This window comes from Homo sapiens, chromosome 6 (assembly GCF_000001405.40).
Source record: "Homo sapiens chromosome 6, GRCh38.p14 Primary Assembly".
Lineage (NCBI taxonomy): Eukaryota > Metazoa > Chordata > Mammalia > Primates > Hominidae > Homo > Homo sapiens.
The window spans coordinates 165,411,098-165,430,091 of NC_000006.12; the positions used below are offsets into that span (position 1 = coordinate 165,411,098).

At 35.3% G+C, this 18,994-nt stretch overlaps 1 protein-coding gene and 1 long non-coding RNA gene across 14 annotated transcripts in view; one reads left to right on the plus strand and one right to left on the minus strand.

Moving 5' to 3' along the window:
- Positions 1-18,994, minus strand: part of PDE10A (phosphodiesterase 10A) — a 660,764-nt gene that overhangs the window by 83,809 nt on the left and 557,961 nt on the right. For all 13 annotated transcript variants that reach the window (XM_011535387.4, XM_017010194.3, NM_001385079.1 and 10 more), the window contains 4 exons: positions 17,561-17,612; positions 7,538-7,680; positions 5,092-5,184; positions 2,404-2,590 (listed from right to left, as the gene is read on the minus strand). In XM_011535387.4, coding sequence (XP_011533689.2) covers positions 2,404-2,590; positions 5,092-5,184; positions 7,538-7,680; positions 17,561-17,612 — 475 coding nt within the window. The remainder of the gene's footprint in view (positions 1-2,403; positions 2,591-5,091; positions 5,185-7,537; positions 7,681-17,560; positions 17,613-18,994) is intronic.
- LOC105378116 (uncharacterized) lies at positions 362-2,559 on the plus strand. The gene is made up of 3 exons (XR_943237.3): positions 362-447; positions 1,901-2,001; positions 2,472-2,559. It is a non-coding gene; the product is annotated as an uncharacterized LOC105378116 (long non-coding RNA).

Below are 18,994 nucleotides of genomic sequence, written 5' to 3' on the forward strand. Positions count from 1 at the left end.
AAAAAAAAAAAAGAAATATCCTTAAAAAACAACAGGTGTATACGCTTTAAAAATACCCAGGTCATGAGAGACAACACTAAGGAATAGTTCCAGATGAAAGGAGACTCAAGAGGTCTGCAGATGAGATAACAACACAGTACTTGTGATGGGTTAGATTGTGGCCCCCTTAAAATTCATGTATTAAAGCCTAAGCCCCAGTACCTTAGAATGCAGCTGTATTTAGAGATAGGGCCTTTAAAGAGGTAACTATGGTAAGAGGAGATTTAAAGCGTGGGTCCTAATCTCATATGACTAGTGTCTTCATAAGAAGAGTCTAGGACACAGGCATGTACACAGAGACAGCAGAAACCATGTGAGGACACAGGGAGAAGGCGGCCATCTGCAAACCAAGGAAAACAGGCTTCAGGAGAAACACACCTTGATCTTGGACTTCCAGCCTCCAAAACTGTGAGAAAAAAATTTCCTGTTGTTTAAGCCACACAGTCTGTGATGTTTATTACAGTGGCCCTAGCAAGCTAATACAGTACCAATGTTAATTTCTTGATTTTTAAATTATGCAGTGAAAAAATAAGATAATGTCCTTGTTTTTAGAGAAAATACAAACTGAATCATTTAGGAGTTATGAGACATTACATCTGAAACATACTCTCATATAGATTGGAGAAAGATAGTATCTATTTAACAGAGAAAGAGAGAGACAGAGAAAGTATATCAAAGCAAAAATGGCAAATATATTAACATTTGGGGAATATGGATAAAGGTATACAGGGAACTTTATTTTTGCAACTTTTGCTTTTGTCTGAAATTATTTCAAAATGAAAAGTATAAAAATTATGCTAAATCTAGTTTCATTTAACAGTAAGAAAAATTCACGAACAGTTATATTAACTATTGCTGTTTTAAGCCATAGGTATCTAAGAAAAAAGTTTTCAATTTTTTTTTTATTTTTTGACATCTATCAAAATGTTATAATAGTTGACTTGATCACATATGTGATAATACATAATACCACCACAATCCAAAATGAATTTTAACACTTATTATACATGTTTTAGACATACCCATGTATTATCTTATAAATAGAAATTATCTTAGGGTAATTAATAAAATAAAGCATAAAATATATTCAACTTTTGTTGGATAACAAATACATATTCAGAGAGTAAACATAATGCCAAATTTTCCCATCCTAAGATCTTGCTATTGTGTTTTTTAATATATTATAATATGTATCAAGCTTCTATGATACTTAAATTCCATTGGCTACATTTAAAAATGATAAAACAGTCAATATTCAGAATAAACTAGAAATTACAATCTTTGCGACTTTTAAACTAAATGAGACAAGCATAAGCTGTCAACATTATTTATGAGAGACACATAGATACTAAAAATGTTTGAAGCAAAAGTGTTTGACAGCATTCCTAGTTTATTTCTGAGGAGCTATGTAACAGAAACTGTCCCCCAAAAGGGCACCAGGAATGCGTGAGGAGAGAGGACGGGTACTCTCACTAAATAGCACAAACTGAATTAAAAACGGTTACCCTCGGTCACCAGAAGTTAAGTTTTACCAATGCTTGTCCCTAGGTATGTCTCCGCTTGTCCTATGAGTTACACGGTTACTCCTATGGAATCCAGTCCTACTCCCAAAAAAGCAGTTTCTCTAATTGATTAAGGGGGCAACTGAATGTATGTTGATTTAGCTCTATGAAAAGATCACCATACTAAAATTTTCCCTAACCTCAGAATTCTAGTAATATTATTAAAGGATTACTAGAGTTTACAGAATACTAAATGTTCCATTCATCTAAAATATAACAATGTAAAAGACAGACAATAAATTCCACTATTTTTAAAGTGAGACTTGAGAATGCACATTGAACTTCATTTTACCCTTCAGTGAACACGGTACAACTTTCACGAGGACTGAGTTAACACCGAGAATGCATGTGACATGGACAACCTGGTGCCTCACTTTTTGTCACAAACAGAACTTTCCTGGTGGGTGTCCAAACATGAGCTATGACTATACTTTTGTGTAAGGATCTCAAATGAATGCATTTGACAAACAGTCAAGGTTTAGGTAGCATTTTCTTTCTTCATTTCAGTAGATACCATTAAATATAAGACTGATGCCTGGACATGTTACCTTTACAGTAACTTCATTTTTCTTCTTAACAAATTCCCACCTTGAAATAAACGCAAACTATTAGGAGACTGTTATTTTTCCTTCCAGGGCATTTTATGACATTTTCTAAAACATGTACAATCAGGAATCACTTACTTTTCCTGGTTTGTAAAGGAAATATAAATGAAAAAAAAAAAGCCCTTAAGCTGCTTTATGAAAAAGATTCCAAATTAATATTGAGTAGTAAAAAATGGTATTTAATAAATAGTACTTACATTAGCACAGTGTAAGGCTAAAGCACAAAAGACGGCAAACATTTTGAAGTTGTTTTCATCTGTTTTAGAGAAGGCACTGCCACTGATTTTGTTGACCATCTGCACCACACCTATCACGCTGCCTCGGCTGACGATGGGCATGCACAGGATGTTCCGCGTGGTGTAGCCTGTGTACAAGTCTACTTCTCTGTGGGGTGACAGAACCAAAAATAACAACAACAACAAAAGGGCAGAAGAAATAAAGGACACAGTCAGTCATAAATCTCCCCTCAATCTTTGCAATTTACATATGCTTCTATTGCATATGACTAATGGCACTTTTAGCTTCTACATTCAGGGACAGTAACATTCCACAGAGTTTTATTAAAACCTTTCCAAAAATATTCTAATCTGTTGGTTCTTTTGTCTCCAAGTGAGTTTTCTAGGATAGTCTCTAAGAGGCTTTCAGCTTATCATTTGAAGTATCCAGCATTACTAAGTAAACAGACCAAAAAAAAACGTGGATTCAGAGGAGAAATACAATTAAATTTGGTAAAATAACATAATCCTTTGAAGTTGATCGTGTTTATGAGAGATATAACTTGCTAAACCAACTTATAGTGTTTCCACTTTAAAAACTTAGAGCAGTGGTCAGCAAACCGCACCCAGGGGCCAAATCAGCCCTCTCCTGTTTATAAGTAAAGTTGTATTGGAACACAGCCACACCATTCATTCACATATTGTCTGATTCTGCCATCACCCCACAAGGCTGAGCTGTGGACTTGTGACAAGGACATTAGTGCTTATAAATGCAAATATACTGACCATATGATCCTTAATAGAAAAGGCTTGCTGACTCCTATTGTGAGGACATGTTTTTGGAAAACAGGACTAAGGTGCATAGAAACAGTGACATAGCTAACGGTAGGTAGTTACATGGGAGTCTTCAGAGCCTGGCTTCTCTCATTTAGCATAAAGGTTTTTGAGATTCATCCATGTTGTTGCATGTCTTAGTGGTTAAGTCCTTTTTATTGCTGAGTTATACCTCTATTGAATGGACATATCGTATTTTGTTCATTCATTCCCAGTTAATGGACAATATTATTTTTAATAGCCAGTTTGGGCAATTATAAATAATTCTGCTTTGAAGGTTTGCATACAAGTCCTACTGTAGCACCATATGTTTTCATTTTGCTTGTAGTACTATCTAGAAGCGGAGCTGATTAGTGGACTGCACAGTAAGTGTATGTTTAACTTTTCAAGAAACTGCAAACCTGTTTTCCCAAGCGGTTGTACCATTTCATATTCCCACCAACAATGTATGAGGGTACTCGTTTCTCCACATCCTGGCCAATGTTTGCTAATGCCAATGTTTTAAAGTCCCAGCCATTCAAGCTGCTGTACAGTGAGGTCTCATGTCAACTACATCTATATTCCCCTCACTTCGAGCATTTTTCATGTGTTTGGTGATCAGTTGTATATCTCCTTTTGTGGACTGTCTGTTAAAATCACCTGCCCTTTGTATTAAATTGGGTTATCTTCTCATTGTTATGCTGGAAGAGTTTTTATATATTAGATATAAGTATTTTGTCAGATACATGTTTTACAAATATTTTCTCCTAATCTGGTGCTTGCATTTTCATTTTCTTAATAGTCTGACTCATACATTTTTACATAAAGATTGGACATAAGGATGAGCAAATATATTTAATTTTTAAGTACTAAATGATGAGTTTGGACTTTTGGAAAAAAACTTTCAGTGTACCCTTAATTTATTGACAATATACATTACTAGAATATTCCTATGTTTTTATAGGAGTTGTGTATATTTGACATCAATTGATCAAATAACTGAATAAACTTCCTATTGCTTATGTTATTTGTCTCTTAAAGTAAACCACGAGTTGGAATTAACTAAACACTGCTGTCAAACTACTGTAAATATTATTCTCTAACAGTCACAGCATCAATCCTGAGACTTTCCATTTCTAGCGATTTATTAAAATCAAATTACATAATTGGGTTTGCAACTCTCCAAAGAAAGTCAAAACAAAACAAAAAATCTTTATAAGCCTTCCTAATATCCATCTTTAATAATATCCAATAAAAGATGTAACTTATTTAGTTACTTTGGGTCAGGTAAATTTTCCAGACCTTTCATGAATATTATCTGTGATCTTAAAACAACAGCAACAAAATTGGCATTATCATACTCATCTTAAAGATGAGGAAACTGAGGCTCAGAGAGATTAAGTAACTTATGCTAGGTCAGTTGAGAGCTAAGAAATGACAGAACCGTGCTTCAAAGCTAGACCTACTCATCTCAAAAGCATGCAAATTTCTTACTATGTGTTGCAGCCTTTGAGCATATGATTTGACGGAGAACATGTTTGTTACAAAATCATGACACTATAATGGAAAAAAAATCCCACAGTAGCTCTATAAATTAAAACTACCGCCTATCAGTTGTTTTTATAACATTCTAAACTCCTGTATCTAGATATCATGATACATTAGTGGATTAGAATCCATCATTTTATAAATATCTGAATATACTGACTATTGATAGCAGAGTTGGTTCAGAGAAGAAAACTAAGGAAGAAAGAACTGAATTGGGACGTGGAGAACTCAGGCTCCACGGAAGAGGTTTCAGCTGAGTGGGACATCACAGAAGAAATCAATGGAGTGTCGACATCAGCTATTTCTTACCTGTTAAAGCGTGGGTCTGCATAGGCATCTGGAATGTTCAGGACTTCCCCTGTTCTTGCTACTTGGCCAGCAATTCCTTTCTCAATTGAAAATCTGCATATGTAAAAGAGAAGGACATGCTAATTAAAATATGGACTCTGTAGAATAATTCAAAAATATTCCATTGTTAATAATATTGAATTAAAAGCACTGTTTTACTTAAATGCGTGTATTACTTTTACGTTTACATATTCTAAATCACCTTATGAAGTACGTAAAAATAAAGCAGAAAACCATTACACAGTAATCACCTGAGAACCTTAAAATATTAACTCACAAACTGAGATCAAACAATCAACTAGTATCCTCCTGCTCTGAACAATAATAATCCCTTCTATTTGCGAAGCACCTTATAATTTACAAGACGCTTCAACATAAATTTTTTTAGTGGATTCTCAATGAGGTGTGAACGAAGGCCTATATGGGTTCAGTAATTTGCCAACATTCATAAAATATCAGTGGCACAAGGAACACTAGAATGCTGGTCTCTACCATCGTGCTTTCTACCACACATATAACCAAACTCACAGGTTACACGTGAGCTTGAGATATTATACAGAACTGAATTTTATGGTGTTTGCAATTCAAGCACTATACAGAAATAACGCAATGTACAACTTCTAGTATTTTTACCTAATTTGTTAAATTTTAAAATAATCAAAATACAAGGATTGTCTGTTTTTTATATCTAATATCAGTATTTTTCCTTTGCAAAAATATTTTCATACTTATATTTTTCTCATTACTATACCATCATCACACAGGCACTCATTTCAAAACTTCCTTAATTAACAAAGATGTCTACAAGTCACAATATCTACATTTTACATAGTTCAAAAATAATTTCCATATTATTACATTGTCAACATTATAGGAAATCACCATTATTGAAATAAAGCTAGAGGACTATCAGAAAAACTCAAAAGATAGTTCACACAAAAGAGAATCTACTTAAAACACCAAAGAGTGAACCAAACACTGCATAAAACTCATGGTTGTCTTTTTCCTGGTTTTCTTGTGCTTTGAACAACATAAACACAATGAATTAGATTGCCATGAGCAAAGGGTATCAGAATCCATTTGATGATTTATGCTTCTTTGCGTTGGTCTGAGAGCAGTCTGAACTATAACTTTTGTTCATGCTCTCTGTGGTTTGCTATCTGTGGTCAATGGAAGCCATAATTAAGAAGCCGCCCTTACATAAATGGCTGCCATTAACCAGTCATCTGAGAGTTACAGTAAATCACACTCTGTTTTTCTTACGCTTATAAACACAGGCTTTAAAGTTGTTATTTTCAAAATTAAATCAATGCCAACAGTGTTAGGAAACACTCAAATCTTCAGCAAGAGAAATGACTTATCTAAATGACTATATCCAGATGCTATACTGAGGTCTAACAGCAACAACAAAAAAAACCAACAACAAACAGACAAAAAAATTTTAAAACCCAAGTACCAATATAGTGCCTATAAATCAGAGTTAATGGACATGGAATACACAGGAAGCGCTGAGGGGCAGACAGTGGTGGGGCCCCACGGTGAGGCACACCTTGAGTTTCCCTGACATCAGTCTCCTTTTATGATAGAACGCCCAAATAAACAGCAATCCTTAATTAAGAAGACACAGTGTTTTGCCAGAATGGTGTTATTACCAGAGAACTTTACGGTGTTATACAGAAGATGAGTTAAACGAGACACATACAGCAAAAGAAATGCAAATGTCTAAAATTATTTTCTCAGCTTCTGAATGTTAAGCTCGATTCTTAAACGTTTTGTCAGAGTGCTCCTTGTGTAGGTTTCCAGGTGCGATATGAGCAAGCCCCCATGCCTCCATCAACAAAATAAACTCCATTCTGTTCATTTAAGTGACAACGGCTGCCACTTAAAAAAACAAAGACTTCAGTTTCAAGATGCAACACAGGTGTGCTATGTGATTGATTAAAACAGCTGGTCAGTCACAGAGTGTATTTAAGTCATCAAATATACCAGATCAATTTCTACTACTGTCTGGACTGCGAGACAGGCCACCGGTTGGGAAGAAGTAGGGGCCGAATTGCATAAGCACACCTTTTCTCTTGGACATGGGAAAACCTGCAGATTCCAGGTGGAGTGTACCTTTACCTACCTGGGAGCACTAGAAAGTTTTTCCAACATGATTTCCAAAAGGACCGCCTCCGGAAGACGGCATTTCCAGGAGTGACGCTAAGGCTTCCTAGGCGCGGTTTCTCGGGCACTGCCTGCAATGTCATTCCCAGAAGTACTACCTTCAGGAGGCGGGTCCTGGTGGGAATGATATCACAGTATGACAAGTATTGTCAGCATACCTGTGAATAGGCACAGAAAAATGGGTAACGGAACGCCTGCACATCTACCGTAAGAGGATAGGACATTCTACTTCTAGCTGTACCTTATCTCTTTGGTCTTCTTGAAGACAGGTTTTCCTTCCTTTTCCTCTCCAATATCAAAAAGGTCTGAATATAACTCCTTGTTCTTATGGTCCACCTGGAAAAGCGCACAACGATCGGCATTCACCAGGTTTTTTGCATATATCTAAAGACAAATGACAAAATAAGAGGAAGACAATGAGACATTCAAAGAACTTGCAGGTAAACTTTATCATAAAATAAGTATTAATTTCAGCTGTCCTATACTCTAATTGGTTGGTATTAGCATTATAAGTAAATAAATATACAAGTATATAAATATTTCATATATATGATATAAAAGTCACTGTTACATGCTAATACTAACAGATCCCAACAGAATACACAGCGGATATGCATCCATACTGCTGTGCTGGAGGGAAGCATATCAGTCGTGTATTCTGACACCAACTGACACTTCTGTTTTAGTTGGTAAGCAGCTGCTGGCCTAACTTCCCAGTGCCCTTCTGCCATCCAAGGCCCTCTTCCAGAACCTCTCAGGCCTTCCCTGGTGCCTAGATCTGAGCCTCTGTCAGCACTACGACCACCACTCATTCTGATTAGTTGAAGTCTGTGATGCAGCAGGTGTAAAAGCTATGAAATATAACCTCTAAGGAGATACATGGCTTTCATATTTGCATTAGCTGAGTTTTATTTGATGTACTGTCTAATAAAAATTTGTACAGATTATTAAGTGTTTACTATGTGCCAGGAACATTTATACAATTTATATGAATTGATTTGCCTGCTCCTCACAATAACAATATTAACGCAGGAAAATCTTTTCCCATTGTACGTATTAGGAAAATTGAGGCACTGAGAAGTAACTTGCCCCATTATTACATGAATAGTAAATGGTAGCAGTATTTGAACTGATACTAGCTGTTCCCATGGCCCATGCTTTTATAACAAATATGCTTTTCCATTTCTAAATGGAAACCATGTATTCATTTCATTACTCATTTGTTCTTCCATTTCCTTCAACAAATATGTCTTCAATGCCTAACATATCCTACTGTCCTGAGTGGGTTGGGGCTACAGCTGCACCATTAATACAGTATTTACCTCTATTGAGAATTCTGGTAACTTCAACTATCCAGATCATAGCCATGAAATTATTCCTCGGAGAAAAAGAATTCATCCTTACAGTAAAACAGCCATCACAAAGTCTCTGCAAGAGGAACCTTGCAGCCAGGGCAAAATATAGCATCTCATATAAAATGTATAGATTTAATAGAAATAAGTCTAAGTTAGGTAACTGTCTTCATCCTATTACACGTTTGTGCTCACTACTACTATAGAACTATTACACTATTACATGTTTGTACTCACTGCTACTATACACCAAACAAATACTGGCTGTGCCCACTACGCAGGGACTGAGTATACTGCCTAGTATCAGGACCTCTAGGTTACTTCTCACCTCCCTTAGCCTGTGAGCTACAGAAACAGCAGAAACCACTTCTCTTTTCCCACAGTATTCCAAATGCTCAGAACAAGGCTGAGTTAGGGCCAGCGAAATTTTGTGGTCCAAACCCTGCTCCCTGCTTGTTAATGTAAATAACATTTTTATTGGGACATAGCCGCGTTCATTCATTTCTTTATTTTTATGGCTGCTACAACAGCAGAGTTGAGTAGCTGCAAGAGAGTATGGCCCACAAAGCATAACAATTTACTATCTGGCCCTTTACAAAAAAAAGTTTGCCAACAAACCCCTGGCTTAGAACATATAGGATCTCCATAACCCAAAACTCTCAATAAATATTTGAGGAAAAATGAATGACATAAAGGCACAGCGAGAGTGATGGGGCTGAGTCGTTGGCAAATACAGAAGAATCACTCATCTAATTCACAAACCCATGAGATTTTAAATTATTAAGTAACAAGAATGATCCTGCATTATTAAACATTAAATTATATTCAGTGAAATCTGTATCTGCAGTGTTTGAGGTAATGTCAGTTGCTTAATATTTTGGCATAAATATGTTAATATTTGTTTAAAATCTGGATCAAATGGACAATGTTTCAGAAAATAAAATAAGCTTAGAAAGTGCTGAAAAATATAAATCCAACCAGAATCATAAAGATAATTCAAAAACTATCAAAAAATATTAGCAAAAAAGGCACCAGCCTAAAATGGCTTCAAATATTAATTCTTTAAAAATCTTCAACAAATTCCCGTACAATTTATACTGATCTACATTCAGAAAAGAACAATTTTTTCCAGTTGTTTTTACAATGTATGCTGCGTCACTGATACTGAAAACTGACAAAGAAACTATAAAAAAGAAAATCACAGATTTACTTTTGAAACAGAAGAAAAGTTATAAATAAAAATTCAACCCAATCAAATTTAGCAATAATTAAACAAATATGACAATATTAAAAACAGAGTTTATTCTGAACTGTCCAGTAGCATAAAGTCTATTATCATAATTCATAATAGCAATAAGACAAAGGAGAAAAATCTGCGAGATTATCGTCATGGTTGTCAAAAAGCATATGATGAGCCTGGGTGTGGTGGCTCATGCCTGTAATCCCAGCACTTTGGGAGACTGAGATGGGCAGATCTCTTGAGCCCAGGAGTTTGAGACCAGCCTAGGCAACATGGCGAGACCCCTTCTCTACAAAACAATATAAAAATTAGTCAGGCATGGCAGCATGCATCTGAAGTCCCAAACACTCAGGAGGCTGAGGTGGGAGGATTTCATAAGCCCAGGAGGCAAAGGCTGCAGTGAGCCATGACTGAGCCACTGTATTCCAGCCTGGGCGACAGAGCAAGACCCCGTCTCAAAAACAAAAACATGTGATGCCATTCAGCAATCATTAATGATAAAAACTTTAGTAAAATGGAATAAAAGAATATATAGAAAACGTAATAATGTTTTCCTCAAAACAACAGTCCATATTATACCAAACGGTAAAATAACAAAATCGCTGCCTTAAGATATTAAAGTTAAGAACAAGACAAAGGTATGTTATCACAATCATTAGCATGCTAGTAGGCAAGAAGAACATGTGAGGTATACATATTTGAAGAGATAAAATTTTTCTTGTTTGAGGATAATGTTATTTCATATGTCAAAAAAATCAACTGACAAACAATTATAGGCAGTAAGAGGGCTTCTGTGGCTGGGTGCAGGGGCTCACGCTGTACTTCCAGCACCTTGGGAGGCCAAGCCCCTTGGACTGCTTGAGCTCAGGAGTTTGAGACCAGCTTGGGCAACATGGCAAAACCCTGTCTCTACTAAAAATACAAAAATTAGCTGCGCATGGTGGCATGCGTCTGTTGTCCCAGCTACTTTTGGAAGGCTGAGGTAGGAGGATGGCTTGAGCCAGGGAGGCAGAGGTTGCAGTGAGCAGAGATTGTGCCACTGCACTCCAGCCAGGGTGACAGTGCCAGACCCTGTCTAAAGAAAGAAAAAGAGGCTTCTGTTTTAAGATGAGCATTTCTAAACATATGTTCACCTTTTCACTCTCCCCAAATATTAATGTTTAACTTTGAAATGACCCTCAGATGCTGAAAAGGAGTTAAAAATATCTAAAATTTTGGTAATATTTATAAAGTCCAAACATCAGGTCAATCTAAAAGCCACCCCTACTCCCTTATACACACACATACGCATACACACACACGCATACACACATACGCATACACACATACGCATATACACACACAGGCATACACACACACATATGCATACACACATACGCATATACACACACAGGCATACACACACGCATACACACATACGCATACACACATATGCATACACACATACGCATACACACATACGCATATACACACACAGGCATACACACATACGCATACACACCTATGCATACGTTTACCTATAAGTGAAACAACACTCTTTATAGCAACAGTAGATTTTAAATTCAGTTAAAATGTATCTTCAAATTTCTAAGGAAAACTTACTTTAAGCCTAAATGTATTTACCAAGTCAAACTAGCATAAAGGAAAATAAAGATATTTAAGAAGGGTACAGTACTCAGAAATGTACTATCTTTGAACTATTTTAGAAAAGGAGATGGGCTCAAGCAAAAATGAAGAAATAGATAAATTCAAGGACACATGGGAAGACTCGGGGTTCAAGAAAAAGTGAGGAGCAAAGAAATCATTAAAACTATACTAAAACTGTAACACTTGTTAGTAAATGATATCTAAGAAATTACAGGCATCATCATGAAAAATTAATTTAAGAAACATGAAATATATAAAAATATTTATATATCTAAAACTATGTAAGGGTAGTAGGTAAGAAGAGTAAAAAAAATTAGGAAACAAATGTGCTTCATTTATTATCTTGTTGGTGAAGTGAGTGATATGATATAAACACTGATTATTTATTGATTTTGATATAAAACTTCATTTTAAACATAAGACGACAGCTGTCAGGGCTATTGCTGCCATCATGTAAAGAGAAATTGCTTGAGACTAAGGACTACACAAAAGTAAGTTGAACTGAGAAACAGAGAAAGACATATTCATGAAAAGATTATTTGAGCCCCCATGTCCGCTAATTATATAAGCCTGAACATTCAATGGCTTTTCAGCAGTCTGAGCCAGTAAATCCTCTCTTTTATTATCTCACACTAATTTGAGTTAAGTAGTTGATGTTTTCAGATCAGAAAGGAAATATAAAGTACCTACAAATTTATAAAAATTGATTTGAAAATCTAATTCATTGATTCCCAACCAGCAGCTGAGCCACCTGGCCGCAGGGCGTCTGGAAATGAGTGCAGGTATGTTTGTTGGTTACGAGTTCTCACAAGCTAAAGACGCTGCAGGTCTGCGGTGCCCAGGATAACACTGTGCCAGAGGGAACTGCTCTGCCTAAATGTCAGCATCAACCTATTGAGAAGCACTGACCTAGATGAACTGATCACCTAGTAATTTAAGAATTACCCAGATTAGGCCGGGCGCGGTGGCTGACGCCTGTAATCCCAACACTTTGGGAGGCTGAGGTGGGTGGATCACGAGGTCAAGAGATTGAGACCATCCTGGCCAACATGGTGAAACCCCGTTTCTACTAAAATACAAAAATTAAGCAGGTGTGGTGGCGCGTGCCTGTAGTCCCAGCTACTCGGGAGGCTGAGGCAGGAGAATGGCAGAGGTAGCAGTGAGCCGAGATCATGCCACTGTACTCCAGCCTCCTGACAGAGCGAGACTATGTCTCAGGAAAAAAAAAAAAAATTACCCAGATTTGCTTGTCTGAAAATAATAAATCTTCCGTATTATAAAAAAGATCCTCAAAAAAGTCTAACCTCATTCCCCACTTGTTTCCTCTAATCCAGGGTTATCTTTTCAAAACACATATCTGATCTTGCACCTCTAGCTTACAAGCCTTAATTAAAAACTCCCTCCCAGGCCTGGGTGACTTGGCCCTTCCAGGACCTTTCTACACAGGAGCACACTGTTCCCCCATCCCCCAAAGTAGAACCCTCTTTCCTCTTTGCCTGTGTAACTTCCACACATCCACCAGACCAAAGTCACAGCATCAGGAAAGCTTGCCACAGCCTCCCCAGCTACGTTAGATCCCATCACAAGCTTTCAGGGCACTGTTATGCTCCTTAATAGGCCTGACTCTGACTAGTTTCATAGTTATGTTGATATTTGGCTCATGTCTGTCTCCCCACAGATTAGAACCTCAATGAGGACAGAGGCTGTGAAGGGTTTTGCTCACCATTTGATAACTCCAGTTACTATGTATTATAGGAATATAACAGATTCCCAAGAAACATTATAAAAGAAAAGGGTGAATGAAAACTTGAAGGATCCAATGTCATAGAAGAAATTGAAAAGAGAATCAGAGATCTACCCCAATAAGACTCTAATGGGGTCTTAGCTGATTTATATCAAACATCAGGTGAACAAATAATATGTACATTATTTAAACCACTTTAGTCCATAGAAAAGAATGGAACATTTCTGAGCTCATTTTATAAGTGTAGCATAACCCAATACCAGTACTATCCAAAGATAGAAAAAAAGAACCATTGAGCAATCCGATGTATGAATATAGATGCAAACTTGGAAATAAATATTAACAACCAATCCAGGAATAAAGAAAATATTACAATTAAATAGCCTTTATACCAGGAATGTAAGAGTGGTTCAACATTGAGTAATAATACAATTGTCTACTCCAATCATTTTGAAATAGCTTATAAAAATTTGATAATACCCAACACCAAATCAGATGCAAACTCACAGAAAATTAGGAATAGAAGGAAATGTTTTAAAATTGATAAATTATATCTGTTGTGGACCCACAACAAATATACATAGCAATGAAATGTGAGAAGTACACACATCAAGGAAAATAAATATATTCTCCTGTTGATATCTGTTGTTTCCATTCAACAGTGTTCATTAGGTTCCAGCTAATACATTAACAAACACAAAGAAATAAGTACTGTAAAAACTGGAAAAGAAGAACCACTAGAATCTCTACTATTGTGCATTATAAATCACTATCTTGAAAACTAAAGACTATAAACTGGAAAAATAAGTTAACTATGGGGGACCATAATCAATACATTCAGTCAACAATTTTTTAAAAAAAACTGAAAATAAGAAAATGTCTTTGGCTAGGAAGACGCCATATGCTGAAGATATCAATTCAAGTTTTCTATAAATTTAGGACAATTCCAATATAAATTACACACCATAATGAACTGAGATTCATCACAGGAGTGCAAGGTTACTTTAACATCCAAGAATCAATTGATGTAATATACACTATCAATAGAATTCAAAATAAAAACCATATGATCATCTACACTGATGCACAAAAATTGACAAACTGTAACATACCTGCATGATAAAAACACGCAATAAAGTAGGAAAAAAGGGAATTTCCTCAACCTGATAAAGGCCCTCTATGAAAAACCCACAAAAAAATCATATTTAACGGCAAAAAACTAAATGCTTCTTCCTTGAGATCAGGAATGAGACAAGAAAGTCCACACTTTGCCACTTCTTTTCAGTATTGTGCTGTAGGTTCTAGCCAGGGTAATCATGCCAGAAAAAGAAAGAAAACACATCTGGATTAGAAAGTAGGGAGTAAAACTGTCTCTAATTATAGAAGGCATGATCGTGTGTGTGTGTGTGTGTGTGTGTGTGTGTATGTATGTAATCCACTAAGAAACTAAGAAACTATTGGAACTAATATATGAGTTCATCAAGCTTGCAGGATACATAATCAAGGTATAAAAACCAATGTTGTTTCTACACATTTGCAGTATAAAATCAAAAAATAAAGAAAACAATTCCATTTATAATAGCATTAAAAAAATAGGAATAAATTGGCCAAAATAAAAGCAATACTTGTTCTCAAAAAACACAAAACACCATTGAAAAAAATTAAGATCTAGATAAATGGAAAAATACCTCACGTTCGTGTATTAGAAGTCTTAATTGTGTTACAGTTGTTAAGATGGCAATACTTCAAATTGCTCTACAGATTCAACATAATTCCTATCAGCATTCCACCTGATTTCTTTGTAGAAATTGACCTGCTACTTCTAAAATTTAAATGTATTTGTTAGGTACCCAGAAGAGCTAAAAGAATCTTGAAAAGTTAGGGAACTCACACTTCTTAATTTCAAAACTTACTACAAAACCACAGTAATCAAGGAAGTGTACTGGCATTACCACAGACATATAGAGCAACAGAACAGCATCCAGCGTCCAGAAAGAAAATGGCATTTTATGTTCAACTGATGTGCTGGGGAAAACTTGATAGCTACATGGAAAAGAATGAAACTGGACCTTTACCAAACATCATATACAAAAGTTAACTCAAAACAGATCAAAGACCTAAATATAAGAGTTAAAAACCCTACAACTCTTAGAAGAAAATATCTGAGTAAATTCTCATGATCTCTAATTTGGCTTAGATATAAAACCAAAAGCATAAACAGCAAAAGAAAACAATAGCTAAATTGGATTTCATCAAAATTAAAATCTTTTGTGCCTCAAATGACACTATCAAGAAAGTGAAAAGGCAACCTACCAAAAAGGGAGAAAATATTAGCAAAGCAATTATGAGACAAGGGAGTTACAGCTAGAATATATGAAGAACTCTTAACAAGTCAATAATAAAAATACGAAGAATTCAATTAAAAAGTGGTCTATGGCTCTGAATAGACATCTCCCCTAAGACAATATACATGCAGCCAATAAGCACATGAAAAGATACTCAACATCATTAGTCACTAGAGAAATACTAATCAAAACCACACTGAGATAGCACTTTACACCCACTATAATGAAAAAGTCAGATAATAGTAAGTGTTGGTGAGGATGTGGAGAAATCAGAACCCTTGTGCACAGCTGCTGGGAATGAAAAGTGGTGCAACTGCCATGGAAAGTTTGGCAGTTCCTCAAAAAGTGAAACATAGAACTACTACATGACCCAGCAATTCCACTCCTAGATATATACCCCAAACAATGGAAAACAGGCATTCAAACAAAAACGTGTAGAGGCATGTCCACAGCAGCACTATTTACAAGAGCTAAGATATGGAAACAATGCAAATGTCTATCAACTGATGAATGGATTTTTTAAAATCTGGTACGTATATCCACAAAATGGAATATTATTTGGTCATAAAAATGAATGAGGTACTGACCCATGCATAATATGTATGATTTTGAAAACAGTATGCTAGGTGAAAGAAGCCAGGCACAAAACGCTACATATTATGTGATTCTTTTCAGATAAAATGCCCAGAATTGGTAAACCCATGGAGAAAGAACGTAGACAATGATTGCTTAGGGCTGGTGAGGCAAGTGGAAATAGGGGCGTAAGGAAGTGATAAGCTAAGGAGATGATAGCTAAAAGGGTATCAAGTTGCTTTATGAGGTAATGAAAATGTTCTAAAATTGATTGATGATAGTTGCACATATCCGTGAATATAGTAAAAACCACTGAATCGCACACTTTAAATGGATGAACTGTATAGTATGTAAATTACACTTCAATAAAGCTGTTTTTAAAAGAACATATTAATAATACAAAGAACGAGCAGTAAGTGCTCCTTGTACCCCTAGCATAAGCTCAGTGTCAGTCTACATTATAACTTTATATTTTTCTTAAAGCTACTCACTGATTTACAAATTCCTTCAGTTGTTTCATAACAAGAGAAGTTATTTTAATGTACAATTATTTTATTTTTGTCTAGATAAAACCATAGAAATAACTTATCACATAAAGAATGTGCTGAAGTTAATAACCTATGTTATTCTCTAATTACCTTTAGTAAACTTCCTGTCTCTACAAGATGTTGCACAAAGCACACTTCATATTTGTCTTTTACTATGTTAAATAAAAAAAAAACTTATCAGTATGCATCATAAAATCTCTAGATGAGAAAACTCTTTATTGCAGAAGAGTACTGTAGAAAGAACATTTATTAAAGCACATAACAGGGCACAAATGGTAACAAGAAGGCCTGGGCATGCATGGCATCCACCCATACATTCTGACAACTAGAAGCCACTTCTGAAAGAAGTCTCACTAGAGACCTAAAAGTACTCAGTAGCATAGGGAAATATGCCTATAACTCTACGTCATACAGCTTTAGGCTCAAAAGTGCCTGACAGCCATCTAGGAGAGAGGAATAATTAAGACTAGAACTAAGTAGAATGAACTTGAAGATCAGGAAAAAATCAATCGAGAATTCCCCACATGTCCCATATGTAAGAGGTGTTTTGAAGAACATAAAAAGAAACCAAATGTCTTTTCTAAGTATAGCTCTCCATTAATAAAGAAAAGCTCTGAGATTTTTAAAAATGTTATTCAAACTTACTCCCCCAAAATTAACGCAAGTGACAAACAGATCAAGGTGAATTCCTAAGCCACCACATTTTCATAATATTGAAAGTGCCTGTGGATGAATAAGTTTAAATGTTATGCCATATATTAGCACCATGGGCCTAAGGGTTAAACAGAATCATACTCAGAACAAAAACAACCTACCATTATGTGTTCAAGTAGAGAATCTATTGCAACTATGTTATCAAAATATGTTCTGAAAAAAAGAAACATAAATCCTGTAAGTAATTTCATTAGTTCACAGTACATATTACACTTTGAATTCATTTCCTGGTTTTGTCTACATTTAAATAAAAAACCATAAAGATAAATGTCATTTGATTTTTCTGCTTTGGCAAAAAAAAAAATCAGTACTGTAATATTATTTTAAAGAGATAAATGAAACTTTATGATTGACCTCAGCATGAGGGCTCTATAATTCCAGAGAATGCAATCAGTATTTATTTTATTGATAAGTATCAGTGTAGAGAGAAAGTCTGTTGCATTTAACAAAGTATGCAGAAATAAAATTGCATCCACCATATTTAATATTTTCATTAATAACTCTGATCTAAAATACAAATATTTAAATGTGCTAAATCTCATCAATAGTTAAATATAAATTATCACTGAAAACTGGAGAAAGTTAGCATTTAAAGTGTACTGAGAAAGTAATGTAATTAATTTGAGAAGAAATGTCAGAATACAAGTAATGCTATGGATCTAATGACTTTATATGAGTATATATTCATTGTTATGAACAGCGAGTAAATGTTTCAGAGGCAAATAGTGCATATACTAAAATGTCAATCTGAAAAAAGATAAATCGATATGCATGTAACGTATGGAAAATGTAAAGAAGGACTCTTAAGATAGACTGCACTGGCTAGGTAGTGTTTAACCTAGTTGGCTCAGGTATCCAAGGGGAGCTTTTTCAGTCCCATACTTCTTTAATTTTATTATTTCAAAAACTAAATGTAACATAAACTAGTAACTTCAAACTAATTAATGAGCATCAAGAATAATTACTGATGGGTAAACTGTTAGGTGCATATACAGTGACATGTGAAACATAACATGTCATCGTTGTTGCTGGAGGCCACAGAGGAAAAACTACATTATTCCTTTAGTGAACTTGTAGGAGGACATGACCCTAAAGTTACCACATCCCGGCGCATATTTTAGATTTCAGTGATTAATTACATGGGTCAGATATATAGATGCAGACTCCTGTAGTAAATAAAACCAATAAAAATATGTGATTTAATAAATATCTATTATATAATTGCTTCCACTGCCAGCCAAAGGGATTTTTTCTAGGCCAAACCAGCGAAATAAAACATTTTCTCAGAAATGATAACTGAGATACTATACATGGGAAAATTTAAATAATAATAATAATGATGCTTAATTTACTGACATTGTTAGAAAAACCAAATAGGACTTTTTGGAAGAAAATAAACCAGAATATTTTCCCTCCTACTGTAGCCAGTATTCTCCTGCATAAATAGAGATATTTAGTGTCTTTAACATATTCTCAGTCTATTTAGAAAACATACATCAAATGGAAAATTAACATCATCACATATATATCTGCAA